The sequence below is a fragment of the Homo sapiens genome, chromosome 8 (assembly GCF_000001405.40).
Source record: "Homo sapiens chromosome 8, GRCh38.p14 Primary Assembly".
NCBI classification, from domain to species: Eukaryota; Metazoa; Chordata; class Mammalia; order Primates; family Hominidae; genus Homo; species Homo sapiens.
This window is the reverse complement of record NC_000008.11, coordinates 100,743,085-100,765,851: the sequence shown is the minus strand read 5'-3', so window position 1 is coordinate 100,765,851 and position 22,767 is coordinate 100,743,085. Positions and strand designations below refer to the sequence as shown.

At 45.8% G+C, this 22,767-nt stretch overlaps 1 annotated feature.

Moving 5' to 3' along the window:
• Nucleotides 9,424-9,925: an enhancer, noted in NCBI's record as "NANOG hESC enhancer chr8:101768155-101768656 (GRCh37/hg19 assembly coordinates)". NCBI's record gives its function as "activates a minimal SCP1, AML or CMV promoter by ChIP-STARR-seq in primed H9 embryonic stem cells {active_cell/tissue: H9 hESC(primed)}" and the evidence as "EXISTENCE:reporter gene assay evidence [ECO:0000049][PMID:30033119]".

Genomic DNA, 22,767 nt, shown 5'->3' with positions numbered 1-22,767 from the left:
ATAAAAATAAGAGAACGTAAAGGAATAAATGAGTGGCTGCTCCATAGGCAGAGAATCCCCAAGGGCTGCTTGTTGCTTTTTCTTTTTCTTTTCTTTTTTTTTTTTTTTGAGACAGAGTCTTGCTCTGTCACCCAGGCTGGAATGCAGTGGTGAGATCTCGGCTCACTGCAACCTCAGCCTCCGGGATTCAAGCAATTCACATGCCTCAGCCTCCCGAGTAGCTGGGATTACAGGCACCTGCCACCACGCCCAGCTAATTTTTGTATTTTTAGTAGAGATGGGATTTTACCATGTTGGCCAGGCTGGGCTTGTTGCCCATTTTATTATTATTATTATTATTATTATATACTAAACAAGGGGTGGATTATTCATGCCTCCCCTTTTTAGATCATGTAGGGTAACTTCCTAACATTGCCATGGCATTTGTAAACTGTCATGGCGCTGGTGGGAGGGTAGCAGTGAGGACGACCAGAGGTCACTCTCATCATCATCTTGGTTTTGGTGGGTTTTAGCCAGGTTCTTTACTGCAACCTGTTTTATCAGCAAGGTCTTTATGACCTGTACCTTGTGCCGATCTCCTATCTATGCCTTAACCTCCTGGGAATGTAGCCCAGTAGGTCTCAGCCTCATTTTACCCAGCCCCCATTCAAGATGGAGTTGCGTGGCTGGGCACGGTGGCTCATGCCTGTAATCCCAGCACTTTGGGAGGCCAAGGCAGGTGGATCACGAAGTCAGGAGTTCAAGACCAGCCTGGCCAAGATGGTGAAACACCGTCTGTACTAAAAATAACAAACATTAGCTGGGCGTGGTGGCGGGCGCTTGTAGTCCCAGCTACTCAGGAGGCTGAGGCAGGAGAATCGCTTGAACCCGGGAGGCGGAGGTTGCAGTGAGCGAGATCACGCCACTGCACTCCAGCCTAGGTGATACAGTGAGACTCCGTCACAAAAAAAAAAAAAAAAAAAAAAAAAAGATGGAGTTGCTCTGGTTCAAATGCCTCTGACAATGTCTCCATCGTAGTTTCTTGGTTTTAACAAATAAATGTGGCATAGTAATATAAAATGTTAACATTGGGAGAAACTCAGTCAGGAGTATATGGGTGTTCCCTGAATTACCCTTGCAACTTTTCTATAAATCAAAAATTATTCCAAAACAAAACATTGAGAAAGAGAATGGGAGGAGATGAAAAGGGAGCAGGAAGTATCACAATTTTCTCAAGGTAGAATAATTTATCTGTGGTTGATTTTTGAGCTTTGCAGAAATTCTGCCACTAAAACTTTCAACCCTTTGGCAAAGATGCTTTTTCCCTGCTCTAAAGCAAATACTCCTGTAGAAGATAAGCGATTAATACTTATTGGGCATTTATACCTTAATATAAATGAGTTTATCAGCTACTTTTCAGAGAGCAAGTGGGGTGGGTAAGCAGGAAGTCAGAGTTTGCTTACATCGTAAATTAGTCTTGGGCATTTACCTTTTGCTTTTGTTCTTTACATTACACAAATATAAATGCACATCATTCCTTGGATTGTTTCTTTCTTCTTTCTTCTTTTTAATGGTCACTTACAAAATTAGCAAAAATTGGGGCAGAAACATGTTTTCTTCCTTGGTTGGTTACAAGTGCTTTCGGAGTGTTCGCATTTTTACAACTACTTAGCTCCTGGCACTAACCCAAGAGTAACCCACTACAGAAATAGTATCTGATCCCCCAGATGGCTTCAGGAGAGCTGGCAGCGATGGTACTCCCTTGGAGAAAGACATGTTCTTGCCTTATCTCACTGTCACAGAGCCTTAAACTTTTTGCCTCTCCTGTTGTTATTTAGACTGAGAATGTTGGATTCCTAGGAGGATGGGAAACCCATAACTAAGTGAGAAGGTCTTATATGTAAAGAAGTTGTTACAGGCATCCTTTTTTTTTTTTTTGAGTTAAATACTAAATGTGGAACTTTATAACCCAATATTTATAAATGTCTCATGAATGAAAGCTGTGAATATATTTTGAACTAACTGTATTTTAAATTTTAAAAACTTGACAATATGCCAAAACAACAAATCTTTGACTTTTCAAGGATGAAATTACACTTAAGGAATTTTTAGTTCAAAAAAAAAAAAACTTTAACTTCCAAAGGCAGAGGTAAATATACACTAACCAGTTATTAATTGTGCAATTTCTACTAAACTTTAAAATACAATTGAGTTCATGAATACATGTGAAACCCTTACCATCTTGATGGAGGTGTGACCTATGTTGTCCCACAGGGCCCCGCACTGAGAAGGGCCCCATGCTTAGTTTAATGTTCTGCTGTCACCGTCTTGAAATTCTTAATACTTTTTGAACAAGGGGCCCTGGTTTTCATTTTGCACTGGGACCTGCAAAGTATATAGCTGGTCCTGCCTGGTATGGAGCCTCCCTGGTATGGAGTAGTGTTTGGTGGAATATTTGTCAAGGGAATGACAAGAAGGAGCCAGCTGTGCAAAAAATCTTCAGATGGATGTCCAGGCAGAAAGGCCAGCAAGTGCCAAGGCTTTGTGGTAGGAAAGAGCTGTGCGTGTGACCAGGGTCACCACACTACATACTTCCAAGGGCATCATTCACCCTGCAGCCTACTGAATGCCTCTCTTGGAGTTATGCATTGTACAACCTGCATGTCTGCACATAGTGGGCCAGGCATGAGAAACAGCAAAGTCGTTGCGGACAGATCATCACAAGAGGGAAGGGAGTGGTAATGCCATGAGATCGGAGAGTCAGGCAGGCCAGATCACAGGGGGTCTCACAGACCATGGTGATGAGTTTGGATTCTATCCTGCGGTGAGATGGAAAGCAGATGAGTTGTGAGATGAATGACATGATCTGATTTACTTATAAGATGACACTAGCTTCACCAGGGAAAATGAATGGAGGGGGTCAGAGTGAAAGCGGAAAGATGAGTTAGTAGTCCAGGTTAGTGATAATGTCATGGTGGCTTGGATTTTAGTGGTAGCAGCACAAAATAAGGTGTGAGCTGATTTAATTTAAATTTTAGAACTAGTAGTAGTACTTACTAGAAGTAGTTATGCCTAGTTTCTGCTGGCAGCTACCAGCCTTGTTTGTTGTACATCATAGGTAATCACTAACTTCTTAAGGTCATCAATATGTCAGTGTTGACGGAGGCTTCTGTGACTCACTTGTTACGAGAGTATATAGTTGCATAATAGATCTGGGCTTATTCAATTTACATTACAAAATCATGTTCATATATGAAACAAAGAATCCGACATTTCTGGTTACATTTATTTTTGGTTACCAAGAGTCTCTTTTGTATCAATAGGAAATGAAACTGTAAGAAATAAAACTATCAAAAGTCCTCAAGACAGGAACTGCTGTATTATAATGACTGCGTTCCCATAGTGATCTCACAAGATATGCAAAAAACTCAGGCCACTTTGCAGTCAGCACACGACTATGGATTGACAATAAGGCCGTTGGTGGATGGTGGGAGTCTGCCTGTAGCTGCAACGTCCTTCCAACAGGCAAAAACATTCACCAGTAACAGAGGGCAGAAAGCTGCCCTAGGCTTCAGTTACCTTGAAAGCTTGTTGATGCACAGCTGTCAAAGATTTAGGAGTATAGAATTAAAAAGCCAAGCTGAGCACTTTGAAGATAGGCAACCTTAAATGGTCCCAAGTCCAAGATCAACCTCCAGGATAAACAGGCAGCCTGGAGAATGAGGTCACATTTGTGAAATTTGTCCTTGACCCCCTGAGCCATCTTCAGCAATATCCAGCTGTTTGTACTTTAAAATGCAGAAAAGTAGGATCAGTAGTGCCATGGATTAGAACATGAGTCATGCCTTTTAGTCATGATGCTCCTCTTTCCAGCACATGGTGGGTAGAAGGGTATAACAGCAACCACTTACATTGCTCTGAAGCTAGGCTGCCGGGCAAGACTTGCCACAAAGACAATAGGCAACGCGGCTGTGGGATGCTTGGGAGGAAGGAGAAGCCCATAAACCCACCTGGTGTGTCAATTAGACTCAGGGCGGGTCTGCTCAAGCAAATAGGAGGAAGACAGATCCCTGATAATTTTAGAAACAAGTCCTACAAACAGACAGACACTAACCAGGAAGCAGTTCTATCCCAGCCTGGTGTGGGAGACAGTGCTAAGGGCTCCTGCATAGGCACAGAGGTATCAGAAGAGCAACAAGGGGCTCCTTGGCAGCTTCTCATGGGAAGAGAAGACTAAAGCCAGAAGACAGGGCTAGTCCTGGCTTTGCCACCTACTAGCTGTGGAACCTTAGGCGTATTCCTTAAGCTGTCTGGGTCTCAGTTTTTCTCATTTGTTGCCAAAGACCTTCCTGAGTGCTTGTCCTATGTGTCATCTCTGCAGCATTTGACACTTGTACCCTCCCCCAGCCTTAAGTGCCTTGTCTCTTCCATTGACTTCTTTCACCCTGTGTTCTCTGACTCTCCCAACTACTCCGACCCCTCATTCTCATCTTCTTCATTCGTTTCTCTTCCAGTGCTCACCTCTTGTGTGGCAGTACTCCCTCTTCCCATCTCATACTCTGGGCAATCCTGTTCATATCCAAGCTCTGACTACCATGACGTTTTCTAAATCTCTGTCTCCAACTTCAACCATTTTCAGGGTCCTTGGACAGGTATTGCAACTACCGACAGGATTGGACATTTCTACCTGGATATTCTGGGTTTTTTTTGTTTTGTTTTGTTTTGCTTTGTTTTGTTTTGTTTGAGATGGAGTCCTGCTCTGTTGCCCAGGCTGGAGCGCAGTGGGCGAGATCCCGGCTCACTGCAACCTCTGCCTCTGGTGTTCAAGCGATTCTCTTGCCTCAGCCTCCTGAGTAGCTGGGATTACAGGCACACACCATCATGCCTGGTTTTTTTTTTTTTTTTTTTTTTGGACTTTTAGTAGAGACGGGGTTTTACCATGTTGGCCAGGCTGGGCCAGGCTGGTCTCAAACTCCTGACCTCAGGTGATCCTCCTGCCTCGGCCTCCCAAAGCACTGAGATTACAGGCGTGAGCTACCACGCCTGGCCCTACCTGGATATTCTGCAGTCAACTCAGATTTATTAAGTCTAGTACTAAGCTCATATTATTCTCTCTTCCTCTAGAATCTCTACCACAGGCCAGGTGTGATGGCTCACACCTGTAATCCCAGCACTTTGGGACACCAAGGCAAAAGGATCATTTGAGGCCAGGAACTTGAGACCAGCCTGGGGCAACATAGCGACTTCATCTCTACTAAAAATAAAAAATAAAAACTAGCCAGGTGTGATGGCACACACCTATAGTCCCAGCTACTCGGGAGGGTGAGGTGGGAAGATCGCTTGAACCCAGGAGTTCAAAACTACAGTGAGCTATAATCACACCACTGCACACCAGCTTGGGCGACAGAGCAAGACCTTACCATAAATAAATAAACAAATAAAATAAAAATATAGACTATCTACCACAGTTAACACCATCACCATCCAATTGTCTAGAAACCTAGGAGTTGTCCACTTCTCCTTCTCCCTCACCACAAGATCAAAGCAGTCATCAGAACAGAATTTATTTCTGAAGTACATCCCTTCCTCTCCGACACACACCTGCTGCTTTAGTTCTGTCCTTCACTCTTTGTCTGTCTTATTCTATTACAATGGTGGCAGAGGCTGTTAATTTTCTGCCAGTATACATTCCTTTGATTTTTCTTTTAGTACAGAAGCCCAGTTTTAGCTGTATACAAGGCTTCCCAGCTAGAGATGATAAGATTTCCAAAGGTTCCTTACAGCTAGTTAAGCCACAGGACCACATGGCCACATAACTAAATTCTAACCAGAAGGATGTGAGCAGAAGTGATACACTCAACTTCCAGGTACTTTCTGTAAAAAGGAAATGGTTTCCTTCTTCCTTTCTCGTCTTCCTTTCTTTCTGCCTCTCCACAGGCTGCTCCCATAGTTCTAACATGATAGATGAGGACAAAATCCTAGGTTAGTGTTTCTCAAACTTGAGTGCGCATCAAAATCACCTGGAGGCGGCTGGGCGCCGTGGCTCACGCATGAAATCCCAGCACTTTGGGAGGCCGAGGCGTGATCACCTGAGGTCAGGAGTTTGAGACCACCTTGGCCAACGTGGTGAAACCCTGTCTCTACTAAAAATACAAAAAATTATCCGGGCTTGGTGGCACATACCTGTAGTCCCAGCTACGCAGGAGGCAAAGTCAGGAGAATCGCTTGAACCCAGGAGGTGGAGGTTGCAGTGAGCTGAGATTGCACCACTGCACTCCAGCATGGGTGACAGAGCGAGACTCTGTCTCAATCAATAAATAAATAAATAAATAAAATCAACTGGAGGGCTTGTTGAAATACAGATTGCTCATGTCAGTTTACCATTGCCATGGCAACAACCAGGGGAAAAAATATAGATTGCTGCGCCCCACCCCTGGAGTTTCTGATTTGCTAGGGCTTGGGTGAGGCCTGAAATTTTTCATTACTGATAAGTTCCCAGATGATACTGATGCTGCTGCCCCAGCAGCTGCATTTTGAGAACCACTCTCTTAAGAGATAGCAAAGTAACAAGGTAAAAGAAACCTGGGCCCCTGAGTGGCCTCACAGAGCAGTATCCCTTCTGTGGCTCTTGACCACTCACTTTTACACTGTAACATGAAACTCTTGTTTGGGCCTTATTTTGAGTCTCAATGTTATAAAAGTTTAGCCTATACCCAAATAATACACCCCTCAGATCATCCTTCATGATTCAACTTACACTATCTTTTTGTTTTGTTTTGAGATGGGGTCTTACTGTGTTGCCCAGGCTCAAGTGCAGTGGGTATTCACAGGTGTAATCATAGCTATAGCCTTGAACTCCTGGGCTCAAGCCATCCTCCTGCCTCAGCCTCCTGATTAGCTGGGACTACAGGTGCATGCCACCATGCCCAGGCCAGCTTACGCTATCTTTTAAGCCACTGATCTGACATGTCATTCTCCTTCATTAAATTCTTCAAATCTTTCCTATTGTCCAGCACAGCTTGACACAACCAATATATCCTGACAAACATTAACCTGAAGCATTGTGAGGAAGGGAAGGAATCCCAGGCAGCCAGCTGGGGTGGGAGGGACGGGCATGACCCTCTTCTATTCCTTGGGCCACGCTGAGGGATTTTCAAAATCCAAGTGCTCTCAAAGTAGAAAGTATATAGTGACTTCTTCATCAGGGCAGAGAATAATAATACCTGGTATCCTTTGGGTTACATACCAGGCATATAATCTTCCAATTGCCCTGCAAGGGATCTACTACTAATATTTCCATTTTGCCACTGAAGAGACAGAGACGCAGAAGTAAGTAGACCATCTGTGGTAGATACCAAGATGCACTGCTCAGAGCCCCCATGCACTCCACCCAGCTATGGGGAGTGCAGTGAGCAGACAGCTTCCTCCTGCAGGGCCTCCACTGCTGCAGACATCACCTGAGGCCTGGCCCCACCTGGGGCACTCTGTGTCTGGTGATGGAGCAAGGTAGGGTTATAAAGGCCTGGCCATTTCAGCCTGATACAGGTCAACCCTGGCAGGCCGTACTCGTTCCAGAATTTCCCATCAGGTTGGCCAAGACTTTGTTGGGCCTGCTGTTTGATTTCATCTGCCCAACGCTGCTTCTTCCTTCTTCCTCTCACAGCTGTTAATTCCTAATAAACATCTTACACTCCAAATCCGTTTCAGTGTCTGCCTGCAAAGAACCCAACCTGCAGCACAGCCCATGAGTAGGGGAAGCTGGGCTTCAAACACAAACAGTCTGCCCACGATCACAATTCCACAGCACGTTGCGAAATCCACTCACAGGAGAAATTCACCTTCCTTAGCATGGCATTCCAGGCCCTTTATAATGTGATTGCAATATTCTTCACTCACCTTATTTCCCACCACTCCCCAAGACAGGCCCTACTCCATTCCCATTCCAACCATTTGCTCAGGTGGTATATTGACAGGAACGCCCTCCTTCCTCGCGACAAGGTCCTTCCAAGCCTAGCTCAGACACCTTCTCCTCTGTGAAGCTTCCCTGCGGTCCCCAGCGAGGAAGGAGTTGCCTGGGGTAGTGATTGGAGCCTGGGAGTCTGTCAGGCCTGAGTTCAAATTCCAGCTTCATGACATAGGTATGTGACATGGAGAGAAGTCCCTAACTCCATCTCCTATCCTACACGACGATAATAGCAACTCCCTCACCAGGTTTTGAATTAAACGAAATCTATACGTCGGCTGGGCACCATGACTCAGATCTATAATCTCAGCACTTTGGGAGGCCAAGGCAGGAGGATCACTCGAGGCCAGAAGTTTGAGACCAGCCTGGGCAACATAGAGAGACCCTGTCTCTACAAAAACTTTCCTTTTAAAAATTAGGTGGGCATGGTGGCACGTGCCTGTGGTCCCAACTATTCAGGAGGCTGAGGCAGGAGAATTGCTTGAGCCCCAGAGTTGGAGGCTACAGTGAGCTATGATGGCACCACTGCACTCCAGCATGGATGACAGCAAGACCCTATCTCTAAAAATAATAACGATAATAAAATAAATCTGTCCACCACCTAGCCCAGTGCTTCTCAAACTTTAATGTGCATAGATATGTCCTGAACATTTTGCTCAGATGCAGCTTCTCTCTTTTTTTTCTTTCTTTTCTTTCTTTCTTCTTTTTTTTGAGACAGAGTCTCGCACTGTCACCTGGGCTGGAGTGCAGTGGTGCAATCTTGGCTCACTGCAACCTCCGTCTCCCGGGTTCAAGCAATTCTGCCTCAGCCTCCCAAGTAGCTGAGATTACAGGTGCCTGCCACCACGCCCAGCTAATTTTTTGTATTTTTAGTAGAGACAGAGTTTCACTATGTTGGCCAGGCTGGTCTCAAACTCCTGACCTCAGGTGATCCACCCACCTCTACCTCCCAAGTCCTGGGATTACAGGCATGAGCCACCGCGCCCAGCCAGATGCAGATTCTCAAATCAGTGGGGTCTGGGGTGCGGCCTGAGATTCTGCATTTCTAACAAGCTCCCAGGTGATGCAGCTGCTGGGGGTCCGTGGACCACACTTGGAGTAGCAGGGCAGGGCTCTAGCCCAATACCTGGCACTTGGCAAGCACTCAATGACATGTACTCTCCCCACCCCTTTCATTACTCCCTCCTCCTGGCACCCATAGCATTTCACTCTTACCACTTGCACACTGCTCACCACACCATACTTTAGTTGGTTACTATTTGCATCTCCCACTGCACTGTATTGAGGACAGAAATTATGTTATCATCTTCTCAGTATCACCAGTGCCCAGCAGAGGGACAGGTATATAAAAGAGGATCAATAAATGTTTGATGAATGAAGCCTTTAAAATGGAAATAAAAATATCAACTCTGCTTGTCTCGACAAGTTGTTGTAATGAGCAAATGCGATAATTTGGGAGAGAGAGCGTAGAAACACGTATCGAGTGCTACAAATATAAAGTATTTTTACCCGTCAGCCTTCCACCCAGCAGCAGTTCAGACGGATGCAGCTGAAGTGTGTTTACTCATGGCATTTGCTCAGACGCTAGCGATTTTAAAAATTCAGATTCATCTATAGTTTAAAAATAAACCATATCCTCTTCAGGATAACAACTGTGGCACTCTTTGCCAATTATAAGAAAGTAATTATAATGATTTCAATGAAAAGGATGTGTCTTTCAATCAATAGGCAAACAATCAATCAATCATGAAGCAGGCACAGAGTACCTCTCTCCAGGAGGCACCGGGCTTACAAAAGACATTTGCTTATCGACCTCCCCCAAATGAGCAGCAGATATCAGCCTTGTCATCTCATGCCTGTTTGAAGGGTGTAACATTCAAAGAGACATCCAGATGAGGCGAAAGAGAGAGAAATATCACAAAATGTAGACTATAACAAGTCAATGAGTATTCCTCTCACGCAGCTTGATACCAGGTATGCTTTCTGGATTTATGTGGGTACTGTAAGTCTCAGACATGGGGGAGGCAGATGGTCCACACAGCTACAATAGAGAAATAATTTTGAGCCGCATGTGGTGGTGTGTGCCTGTAGTCCCAGCTACTCAGGAGGCTGAGGCAGGAGGATCCCCTGAGCCTAAGAGTTAGAGTCTAGCCTGAGCAACATAATGAGACTCTATCTCTTAAAAAACAAAACTTGCAAAAAAAAAAAAAAAAACAGTGATTTTTTTTTTTCTTTCTTTCCTTTTTTTTTTTTTTTTTTTTGAGATGGAGTCTTACTCTGTCACCCAGACTGGGGTGCAGTGGTGTGATTTCAGCTCACAGCAGTCTCTGCCTCCTGGGTTCCAGTGATTCTTCTGCCTCAGCCTTCCAAATAGCTGGGACCATAGGTGCCACCACGCTTGGCTAATTTTTGTATTTTTAGTGGAGACAGGGTTTCACCATGTTGGCCAAGCTGGTCTCGAACTCCTGACCTCAAGTGATCCACCTGCCTTGGTCTCCCAAAGTGCTGGGATTACAGGCATGTGCCACTGTGCCTGGCCAAAAAAAAAAAGAAAAAGAAATTTTTAATGAAAAGATGACTCATTGAGTGAGGGCAGAGTCAAGATAACCAAGCGAGGCACCTAGGGACCAAGAACAGTGGAAGACATCACCACCAATGCCAAGAGTCAGGGGCAAAAATTGCTATTACCAGAGCTTAAAAACTGGAGCCCTGGTGTAAACACCAAGTGCAGTGGTGTTTACAACTAATTTATCACAACCAGCTACTGATTCCTTTGTTCCTTCTCCACTCCCACTGCTTTGCTTGACTAGCCTTAAAAAAATAAATAAATAAAAAATAAAAATAGGCCGGGTGCATTGGCTCAAGCCTGTAATCCCAGCACTTTGGGAGGCTGAGGTGGGCAGATCACGAAGTCAGGAGTTCGAGACTAGCCTGGCCAACATAGTGAAACCCCGTCTCTACTAAAAATACAAAAAATTAGCCGGGTGTTGTGGCAGGTGCCTGTAATCCCAGCTACTCGGGAGGCTGAGGCAGGAGAATCACTTGAACCCAGGAGGGGGAGGTTGCAGTGAGCTGAGATTGCACCATTGCATTCTTGCCCGGGCGACAGTGCAAGACTCCATCTCAAAATAAATAAATAGGCCAGGCGCGGTAGCCCATGCATGTAATCCCAGCACTTTGGGAGGCTGAGGCGAGCGGATCACGGGGTCAGGAGTTCAAGACCAGCCTGGCCAAGATGATGAAACCCCATCTCTACTAAAAATACAAAAATTAGCTGGGCGTCGTGGCACACACCTGTGATCCCAGCTACTGGGGAGTCTGAGGCAGAGAATTGCTTGAACCCAGGAGGCGGAGGCTGCAGTGAACCGAGATCATGCCACTGCACTCCAGCCTGGGCAACAGAGCAAGATGCTGTCTCAAAATAAATAAATAATAATTAAAAAAGTAAAAAACTGGAGCCCTGGAAAAGTGTCTGTCCCATGGAAGCTGTGACCACAAAGGGACACAGTCACTATGATTCATAATGGAGAACCATAGGGAGAGAGTGGAAGTAATACATATTCTGACCTTTGTCTGTTTCCAGCCTCTTATCACCCACTGGTGCCTCCCATTGACTTAACCCAAGCCTTCCAGCAAGGGAGCCTGGGTGGTGCACCACATAGACATCAGCCTTCCAGGCACAAAACGAGGCAGAGAAGGGCAGAAAATGAATCAGTTAGTGGGCTGGGCACTGTGGCTCCCACCTGTAATTCAGCAATTAGAGAGGCTGAGGCGGATCGCTTGAGGCCAGGAGTTCAAGGCCAGCCTGGGTAACATAGTGAGACCACGTCTCTATGAAAAAAAAAAAAAGCCGGGCACGGTGGCTCATGCCTGTAATCCTAGCACTTTGGGAGGCCGAGGCGGGTGGATTACCTGAAGTCAGGAGTTCAAGACCAGCCTGACCAACATGGTGAAACCCTGTCTCTACTAAAAATAAAAAAAATTAGCCGGGCGTGGTGGAGCCTGCCTGTAATCTCAGCTATTCGGGAGGCTGAGGCAAGAGAATTGCTTGAACCCGGGAAGAGGTGGTTGCACTGAGCCGAGATTGCGCCATTGTACTCCAGCCTGGGCAACAAGAGCGAAACTCTGTCTCAAAAAAAAAAAAAAAAAAAAAAGAAATTAGTGGGTGTGGTGGTGGTGCACAACTGACAACTGTAGTACTTCCAGCTACTCTGGAGGCTGAGGTGGGGGGATCACTTGAGTCCAGAATTCAGGTTTCAGTGAGCTATGATTGCACCACTGTACTCCAGTGCCACTGGAGTGACAAAGTGAGACCCTGTCTCTCTCTTAAAAAAAAAAAAAAGAAGGCTGGTACAGTGGCTCACACCTGTAATCCCAGCACTTTGGGAAGCTGAGGCAGGTAGATCATCTGAGGTCAGGAGTTCGAAACCAGCCTAGCCAACATGGGGAAACCCCATCTCTACTAAAAATACAAAAATTAGCCAGGCATCCTGGCATGTGCGTATAATCCCAGCTATTTGGGAGGCTGAGGCAGGAGAATCGCTTGAACCCTGGAAGCAGTTGTTGCAGTGAGCTGAGATTACGCCATTGCACTCCAGCCTGGGCAACAGAGTGAGACTGAGAAAGAAAGACAGAAAGAAAGAGAGAGAAAGAGAGAAAGGAAGGAAGGAAGGAAGGGAGAGAGAAAGGAAGGAAGGAAGGAAGGGAGAGAGAAAGGAAGGGAGAGAGAAAGGAAGGAAGGAAGGAAGGAAGAAAGAAAAAGGAAAGAAAGAAAGAAAGAAAGAAAGAAAGAAAGAAAGAAAGAAAGAAGGAAGGAAGGAAGGAAGGAAAGAAAGAAAGAAAGAAAGAAAGAAAGAAAGAAAGAAAGAAAGAAAGATAGATGTGAGGGAGGGAAGGAGGGAGGGAGGAAAGGAAGGAAGGAAGGAAAGGATCAGCTGGGAGTTGGGATAGAGTTGGGCACTCAGTCAGTTCAGAGACAACCTTGAGCTCTTCCCTCAATTGCCCTAATCCTGGTGACATTAGTCCCTGACTATCCTTTTCCCCACATTTTCTAGGTGCCTGGTCTTTCTGACTCTTCCAGTCTTCACAAAACTGCTCATAACTGGAGCAAATCCTCTAGTTATGTAATGTAAACCAGTATAATCCAAGACCACCCAGTTCCAATTAGAACCTGAGAGACTAAGAAACAACCATCAATTCTGCATCAATCACTAGAGATAAAAATCTTTGTAGTCCACCAAACTGTAATGTCGAGTAGCTCAGGGCTAAGAAACAAATTTACTTAACCAAATATTACTTTTCAATTAATTGTGCAAAAGTATATGTAAACCACACAAAAATAAAAGTAGCATCCAAGTGGGAGCAGGATGTTTTGCAAACAGTTCCTCCATGCTTATAAATTCATATTGGATGTGCATAAATCCAGAGAGGCCAGGAGTTCACCCTAACTGGAAGAGAGCCTCTCCTCTCCAAAAAGGGACCTCTGCACAGTCAGCAGTCCAGCAGTCTGCTGTTTGGACTGAAAAAGGAACTGGCCAAATGCCAGGATGAAAGTTTTCTTTTTTAGCAACATGTTCATCGTTGTCTTCATCAAAGTGACTATAAAAAAAAGCCACACAAAAGAATGATATAATCCTGGACCTGTCCTCTGTCGTTTATAGTATAAGCAAGATGTACTAGTGCAAATAGGTGTGGACAGATTGAAGATGCATTATGGTGAACCAGCAAAAAAAAGAAAGAAAGAAAAGAATTCACAGCCAAACACAAAAGGGATAATAGCAAGAGTTAACAGAAAGCACATACAATACTCCTATAGGGTAAGTATTATTATTATACTTTTTCTATAAAAGATGAACATGAAGTTTTAAACTCACATTCACATAGTGAATGGCTGGTAGAGCCATGTATACCTAACAACTGGCTTCTCTCTCTTTTTTTTTTTTTTCGAGATGGTGTCCCGCTTTGTCACCCAGGCTGGAGTGCAGTGGTGTGATCTCCGCTCACTGCAACCTCCGCCTCCTGGGTTCACCATGTTGAAACCCTCCTGGGTTTCACTATGTTGGCCAGGCTGGTCTCCAACTCCTGACCTCAAGTGATCTGCCCGCCTTGGCCTCCCAAAGTGCTGGGATTACAGGTATGAGCCACGGCATCCAGCCTCGGATACTTGTTTCTGTACAGCCAGTATGTGTGGTGTCTGACAGACCCACCTGCAAATCCAACCTCCACCACACTAGTTGTTTGATCTTGTAAAAATTCCTTGACCCTCTCGGCCTCAGTTTCCTTATTTATAAAAATGGAAACAGGCCAGGCGTGGTGGCTCACGCCTGTAATCCTAGCACTTTGGGAGGCCAAGGCGGGTGGGATCACTTGAGGTTAGGTGTTTGAAACCAGCCTGGCCAACATGGTGAAACCCCATCTCTACTAAAAATACAACAAAAATTAGTCAGGCATGGTGGTAGGCACCTGTAATCCCAGCTACTCAGGAGGCCAAGGCAGGAGAATCGCTTGAACCCAGGAGGTGAAGACTGCAGTGAGCTGATATGCGCCACTGCACCCCAGCCTGGGTGACAGAGGGAGACTTTGTCTCAAAAATAAATAAATAAATAAAAATAAAAAGGGAGAACAGCTATTCTAAGGATTCAAGGAAATATATATAAGGGAACTAAAAGTCCTCAAAAATTGGCAATAATTATAAATAAATAATAATAATAAACTATAAAAATGGGCATGCAAAAAGTTTTCACTAACATAAAAAAGGCCCTTGTAAGAGTCTGTTCTGAACCCTTACAACAAAAAGAATACCTGGGGGTGCCAAGCAACACGATGGCCATGACACGAGGATCCCTTGAGGCCAGGAGTTCCAGACCAGCCTGGTCAACATAACAGATCCCATCTCTACAGAAAAAAAAAAAAAAAAAGAATGCCCAGGGGTGCTCAGCATGTGAGTGCTGAACTCCCGCCCTTGCCCTCCTTGGCTCCAGGCTACAAGCCTTCTCTTGGTCTCTGTCCCTCTTCTGAGCAAATGCACTGCTGCTTGACTTCTGACTTTAGGGCCCTTAGAATTTTTCAGACGGCACTAAGGCCAGAATTTATCCTCTTTTCTGATAAACCAGCCATGTGACTTGTACATCCTGCAGTGCTGAGAGGAAGGAGGGCAGAATGGGAAGTGGGAAAGGCTGGCCGTGGAGAGAATGCTCAGGCTACTGAGCTGAGATTATAAAAGGATTATTGATGGAAGTCCTCACTAGGAAAGGAAGACTTCAGGGGAGGCCCCTTGATTCCAGCTCCACCAGAATTGCCAGCACCACCCATCCCCAGCCTATTCCTTTCTTCTCCCTCTTCCCTCCTCTTCCTAAAGTGGTGAGTTCTGTGCCAAGACACACACACACACACACACACACGCACACACACATGCACAAACAAACAAAAAACAAGAAGAAGGACTTTTAGACTCCACTAGGAATCATTCCATTTGGTGTATAGTTTATAGGTTCGGTCTGTTCTCACTGTGGTTTTACATGGTCCAAAGCCCCACCCCAGCGCCAGTTCTGGATTCAAAAGTTTCCAAGGCCAAGTCTAGTCCAGAGAGGTGGCCAGGTTCTGGGAAGCCAGAATTGCTGCTTCAGAGTCAAATCCAAAAGGCAAGGCCAAGATGAAAGTGGGGAGATTCGCCGGGCATGGTGGTTCATGTCTGTAATCCCAGCACTTTGGGAGGCTGAGGCGGGTGGATCATGAGGTCAGGAGTTCCAGAACAGCCTGGCCAAGATGGTGAAACCCTGTCTCTACTAAAAATACAAAAATTAGCTGGGTGTGGTGGCGGCCGCCTGTAGTCCCAGCTACTCTGGAGACTGAGGCAGGAGAATCACTTGAACCCGGGAGATGGAGGTTGCAGTGAGCCGAGATCGCGCCACTGCACTCCAACCTGGGCAACAAAGCAAGACTCCATCTCTTAAAAAAAAAAAAAAAAAAAAAAAAAGGCCAGGCGTGGTGGCTCATCCCTGTAACTTTGGGAGGCCACAGCAGGCAGATCTTGAGGTCAGGAGATCTAGACCATCCTGGCCACCGCACCTGGCCGCACAGTTGCCCAGTTCTAAATCTAGAAACAATCCTTTCTCTTTTACTTCCTACACCCAACTTATCAGCAAGCTCTGTTAACCTTACCTCTGAAATGTATCCAGGATCTCACCCGTTCTCCTCCTCTTCCTCCATTGCCACCCTGGTTCAAGCCTATCACCTGGATTATAAGACAATAACCTTCTAACTGATCTCTCTGATTCCATTCTCTGCCCTATACAATCGCTTCTCCACGTCATGGCCAAAGAGAGCTTCTGACACATAAAGAGGATCACGTTGGTCCCTTGCCTTAGAATCTCCAATGGCTCCCAATTACCCTTACAATAAAACCCACACTCCTCACCCCAGCTGGAACTCATGCTTCAACCTCCTCTCCCGACACCTCTCCCCGTCGACACCTCTCCCCCTCGACACCTCTCCCACTCGCTCCTTCTTTTTGTTTCTCAAACATGCCAGGTCCTTTCACACTTTAGGGAGAGCTTGCATTTGCTGTTCCCTCAGCCTTCGAGCCTTCATCCCACAGATCTTTAGCTGCCTGTTCCTTCTCATTCAGGTCTCAGCTTGAACCTCCTCTCTGCAGAGGGGCCTTTGCTGAGCATGTGAAGGGGCCCAGCAGTTCTCTCCAGCTGGTCACTCTCATTATAACTCCCAATACTTTCTATTTTCTAACTGCTTGCATCGCCAAAGTAAAGAGAAGCTACTTTATCCTTCTTATTCACCCATTTTCCTAGAACTTAGAACAGAGCCCAGCACAAAGAAAGCACCAACTATTTTTAAATAAACTTAAGATCGGGGAAAGGTGGCTGATTCGAATTACAAGTCTACATTCATCAAGAGAAAGGAAAGCAAAATCCTTTCCTCTGACAAATTTTTTTTTTTTTTTTTTTTGAGACAGGGTCTCACTCTGTCACCCAGGCTGGAGTGCAGTGGTAAGATCACAGCTCACTGCAGCCTTGACTTCCTGAGCTCAAGTGATCCTCCCATCTCCGCCTCCCAAGTAGCTGGGACTACAGGTGCATGCCACCATGCCCAGCTAATTGTTTCTATTTTTTATAGAGACAGGGTCTCACTATACTGCCCAGGCTGGTCTTGAACTCCTGGCCTCAAATGATTTTCCCACCTCAGCCTCCCAAAGCACTGGGATTACAGGCTTGAGCCACCGTGCTCGACCTGGACTTTGCATTTAACAAGTAAGTTTATGCCATCATGTAAAGATATGATTTTAAATGTATTTGATTCAATAACATATATACATAGGTCAGCATTCCCTAGATGATCCCCTAGGTTCCTTTTCCTAGAGGCAGCTACTACTACCAACCTGATAAATGATCACATCATTCATGGGATTTACTCATGCTTACTGGATCAGAATCTTCAGGTTGCAAATATTTTCTCCAGCCCTTCCCACGTGTTCAACTATCACAAAGACTTGTGTAATGAATACAAGATACAAAATCAGAAGATTGTTTAGCAGTTTTAATTCAAATTCTTACCAGGCTATTCCCGAACACTTTCAAGCCCTAGAAAGGCCTATGCCATTTGCTGCAGTTGGACAGCTTTCTAGACAAACTAGAAAATCTGGATTTCAGGACAAGCTCAACGTCTAGACAGACAACACCCTGGCGGTGGTTTCAGAGATTAAGAGATGCACTGTCCTCTGATATCACCCACATGGGCTTTCTGTGACAGGCACAACTCCATCTCCTTTGCTGTAACGCAGCGTGGTGTCATATGGGTCATTCAAAGAACATGGGCTGGATTCAAACCCCAGGTTTACCTCTTGAAAACTGTGTGACCTAGGACATGTTGTTTAACTTCTCTGAGCTCTTTTCTCTAGTATAAAATCAAAGAATATCTACCTCATAGTGTTGTTGTGAAGATTAAATGTAATGATATACGTGAATGGCTCTCACCAAGTAGTCATCTCATGGTTTGTTAAATTACTTTGGATTTATGTAAAATTCAGATGACCTCCCCGGGGGTGTCTTCCATGACTGACCACACCCGACTCTGTGGCATCAGCATCTGCAGGTCCCCAAGGAGTCTCTCTCCTCCTGTCTGGAGTCAGCCCGTCTGGGGTTGATCTCCACTGCAACCCTCCTCCTGCTCCTCCAGGATCTGCTTTCATCGTTAGTTTCTTCTGTCTTCTATCTTGAATCTCTCTTTGTCCATTGGCTCTCTCTTCTCTTTCAGACTTGCTGAAGTCGTTTTTGGTTTTTTTGTTGTTGTTTTTTTTTGTTTGTTTTTTTTGACAGACTCACTCGGCCACCCGGAATGGAATGCAGTGGTGCCGTCATGACTCGCTGCAACCTCAAACTCCCAGGCTCCAGCCATCCTCCCACTTCAGCCTCCTGAGTAGCTGGGACCAAAGACATGCACCAGCACACCTGACTAATTTTTTATTTTCTGTAGAGATGGGGTCTTGCTATATTGCCCAGGCTGGTCTTGAACTCCTGGGCTCAAGCGATCTGCCCACCTTGGCCTCCCAGAGTGCTGGGATAACAGACATGAGCCGCCGTGCCCAGCCACATCTTTCATACTTGAAACAAAAAGCCCATCAGTGAATCTTGTGTTTTTTAAGTATGAAAAGCTTTAATCACTAAACTTAAAAAGAGCCTGAGTGACTGGTCAGACCCCTCAGGCTGGGACAGGACTTCCAAGATCAGCTCAAGCCTGAAGGCTAAGTATACCTCCCTTCTCACGGAAGAGCTGGCTTACATATTGGTGATAAATGGATCCTGGCTGAGGTCTGGAGCAGAGTGGGAAGGACTGAACAGTGACAAAGGGAAGGAGCCCAATTCTTCCACAACTCTTCTCTGCTTTTAAGAGCCTGGGGAAGGCTGGGGCGGTGGCTCACACCTGTAATCCCAGCACTTTGGGAGGCTGAGATGGGAGGATCACTTGAGACCATAAGTCTGAGAGCAGCCTGGCCAACATGGCAAAACCCCACCTCTACTAAAAATACAAAAAATTAGCCAGGCATGGTGGCGTGCACCTGTAATCCCAGCTACTCGGGAGGCCAAGCCAGGGGAATCGCTTGAACCTGGGATGCTGCAGAGGTTGCAGTGAGCCGAGATCATGCCATTGCATTCCAGCATGGATGACAGAGCAAGACTCTGTCTCAAACAAACACAAACTTGAATGACTCTTTCTTCCCCTCGAGACTTGTGGATCTCCTTGATTTGACCCCTCTCTATCTCTCAGCCACACCTCAAATTTCACTAGTTGTCCTCCCACTTTGCTGTCCTAATTCTCTTCTCTGTGCCCTGGATTATGCTGGGAATGCCCTGCCTACCTCTCTTTACCTGAAAACCTTATCACCTTTTAAGATAAAATTCAAATGTTATCATCTCCAAGAATCCTCCCCTGAGCCCTCAGGCAGGATTTTGGCTACCTGTCATCTTACCCTGTGATAATGTGTTCCAAGAAGACTGGCAGCCTGTCTGTTGAGACATTTACTAGCTGACTCAGAAATCTGATTTTATCAGCATTTTAAGAACAAATTAGCCAGGCATGGTGATGCGTGCCTGTAGTCCCAGCTACTCAGGAGGCTGAGGTAGGAGGATCCCATTAGCCTGGGAGGTATTTCTCAGGAAATAAAGTTTTCCCCAATCTCTCCACTCCTCACCCCACTTTCCCTGCACAGCTCTCACCCCATGCTTCTGATAATAACAGATACATGTGAAAGTTTCTAGTTTCTTTCTTTCTCTTTTTTTTTTTTTTTTTGAGACAGAGTTTTGCTCCTGTTGCCCAGGCTGGAGTGCAATGGCGCAATCTCAGCACATCGCAACCTCCACCTCCCAGGTTCAAGCGATTCTCCTGCCTCAGCCTCCCAAGTAGCTGGGATTATAAGCATGTGCCACCATGCCCAGCTAATTTTGTATTTTTAGTAGAGACAGGGTTTCTCCATGTTGGTCAGGCTGATCTCAAACTTCTGACCTCAGGAGATCTGCCTGCTTCGGCGTCCCGAAATGCTGGGATTTCAGGCATGAGCCACCACACCCGGCCTCTAGTTTCTATTTGGCTGTTACAGACAGGCAGGCCTTCAACAAGAACTTGGAAATACGGTGCAGCTCTTGAATGATGACTTTAAGGATCTTGATGACTTTAAGGATCAAAGTACAAGCTGAGAGGATGGCTTTTACTAACAGGCTCTTCAGTAACTACATTAAAGGATTAATGAGCAAGAGGCACTCAGGCCAGGGGTTGGGCAGTGACTTTTGGTTGGCCAGGCAAGTAAAAAGGGAGTCACAGATAATCATGGGTAGTGATTATCCAGACTTCAGCCGGGATGAGGGGAAACAAATGAACTGTCTTCTGATATCATGGTCCCATTGGCGAGCCCATTCCTGATCTGGAGATAGAGGCATCAAACTTTCACCCTGATTCCACCAAATGTTTGATTTACTCAGCTTCCATTGTTCTGATTTTCATTCATCTCCATGGGTAGGTCTGTTTGCTGTTTATAACAATAATGACTATTACTATTTTGCCAACTGCATTGACTTCAGTAAAAGGGTAAGTCTGTTTGCAAGGAAAGAGTGCATTAGTCTCTCATATTCCAGTATTACAGTTTTAAGAAAATTATCATTCTTTGGCCGGGTGCGGTGGCTCATGCTTGTAATCCCAGCACTTAGGGAGGCCGAGGCAGGTGGATCACGAGGTCAGGAGATCGAGACCATCCTGGCTAACATGGTGAAACCCCGTCTCTACTAAAAATACAAAAAATTAGCTGGGCATGGTGGCGGGTGCCTGTAGTCCCAGCTACTCGGGAGGCTGAGGCAGGAGAATGGCGTGAACCCAGGAGGCGGAGCTTGCAGTGAGCCAAGATCGTGCCACTGCACTCCAGCCTAGGCGACAGAGCAAGACTCTGTCTCAAAAAAAAAAAAGAAAATTATCATTCTTTTTGAAATTAATCTGTTCATATCCTGACCTCATACATTTTTTTCTTTTTCTTTCTTTCTTTCTTTTTTTTTTTTTTGAGACAGAGTTTTGCTCTTGTTGCCCAGGCTAGAGTGCAATGGCCCAATCTTGGCTCACCATAACCTCTACCTCCTGGGTTCAAGGGAGTCTCCTGCCTCAACCTCACAAGTAGATGGGATTACAGGCATGTGCCATCACGCCCAGCTAATGTTGTATTTTTAGTAGAGACAGGGTTTCTCCATGTTGGTCAGGCTGGTCTCGAACTCCTGACCTCAAGTGATCCGCCCACCTTGGCCTCCTAAAGTGCTGGGATTACAGACGTGAGCCACCATCCCTGGTGACTTTATACATTTTTCAAGAAAACAGTTAATTTGAGCCCACCACTAAGAGATGAATTTTTTTCTTTCTTTCTTCCTCTTTCTTCCTTTCTCTTTCTCTCTCTCTCTCTTTCTCTCTTTTCTTCTTTCTCTTTCTTTCTTTCCTTCTCTCTCTCTCTCTCTCTCTCTCTCTTTCTTTTTCATGGTGTCTGTCACCTAGGCTAGAGTGCAGTGGTGCAATCATGGCTCACTGCAGCCTCAAACTCTTGAGCTCAAGCAATCCTCCCACCTCAGCCTCCCAAGTAGCTGGGACTACAGGCTCCAAGCACTGTACCTGGCTAGTTTTTAAAAACATTTTTGTAGTGATGGGGTCTCAGTATGTTGCCCAGGCTGGCCTTGAACTGTGGGCTCAAGCAATCCTTCCATCTAAGACTCCCAAAGTTCTGAGATTACAGGTATGAACCGTTGCACCCAGCTCTTGGGGAAAATTTTAGGCGATGATTCCTCTCCTCTATCTCCACTCCAGCACAATTTTCAAGAGCTGCAGCTCTTTTAACAACTTGTTAGGGTTAGAAGTTGCCACAGCAGTAAAACTGTGGTGAAAAGAACATAGGGAAGTGATGGAAGCTCAGTGATCAGACCCTGAGACCTGTAAGGAAGGAAGGTGAGGAATAGCACTGTTTTGGTGTTTTTGTTTGAGACAGAGTCTCACTGATTTTTTTTTTTTTTTTTGTATTTTTTGTAGAAACGGGGTTTTGCCATATCGCCTAGGCTGGTCTGGAACTCCTGGCCTCAAGTGATCCACCCGTCTGGGCCTCCCAAAGTGTTGGGATTACAGGCCACCACGCCTGGCCAGCATGGTTTATTCTGTGCATCCACACCTAGCCCCACCCCGCCAACTCAACCTCAGTGGATCTCAAGTGCAGTCTCTACATCAGTGGCATCAGCACTGCAGGGGACTTGGTAGAAATTCAGGGCCCCACCTCCGACCTACTGAATCAGAAACTCTGGTGGTTGGGCCCAGCAATCTGTTTTAACAAACCCTCAAGGTGAGTGTGATTGGATTTGAGAATCACTGATCTAGGGCAGAGTCCAGGGCCCTCCTCACAACACACACCCTGACCCATACCCAGGCAGACCTCCTTCCTGGATGGGTTCCTCCTGATGTTAGAAAGTGGCTTTAACTTGGACAATGTCAGGAGCCTTGTTTTATGTATTCTCTGGGTCTAGCACACAGGAAGTATTTAAGAATGGCTAATGGGCCGAGCTTGGTGGCTCCCACCTGTAATTCTAGCACTCTGGGAGGCCAAGGCAAGTGGATTGCCTGAGTTTAGGAGTTCAAGACCAGCCTGAGCAACATGGTGAAACCCCGTCTCTACTAAAGACAACTAAAGCTGGGCGTGGTAGCACGTGCCTGTTGTCCCAGCTACTCAGGAGTCTGAGGCAGGGGAATCACTTGAACCCAGGAGGCAGAGGGAGGTTGCAGTGAGCCGAGATTGCACTGCTGCACTC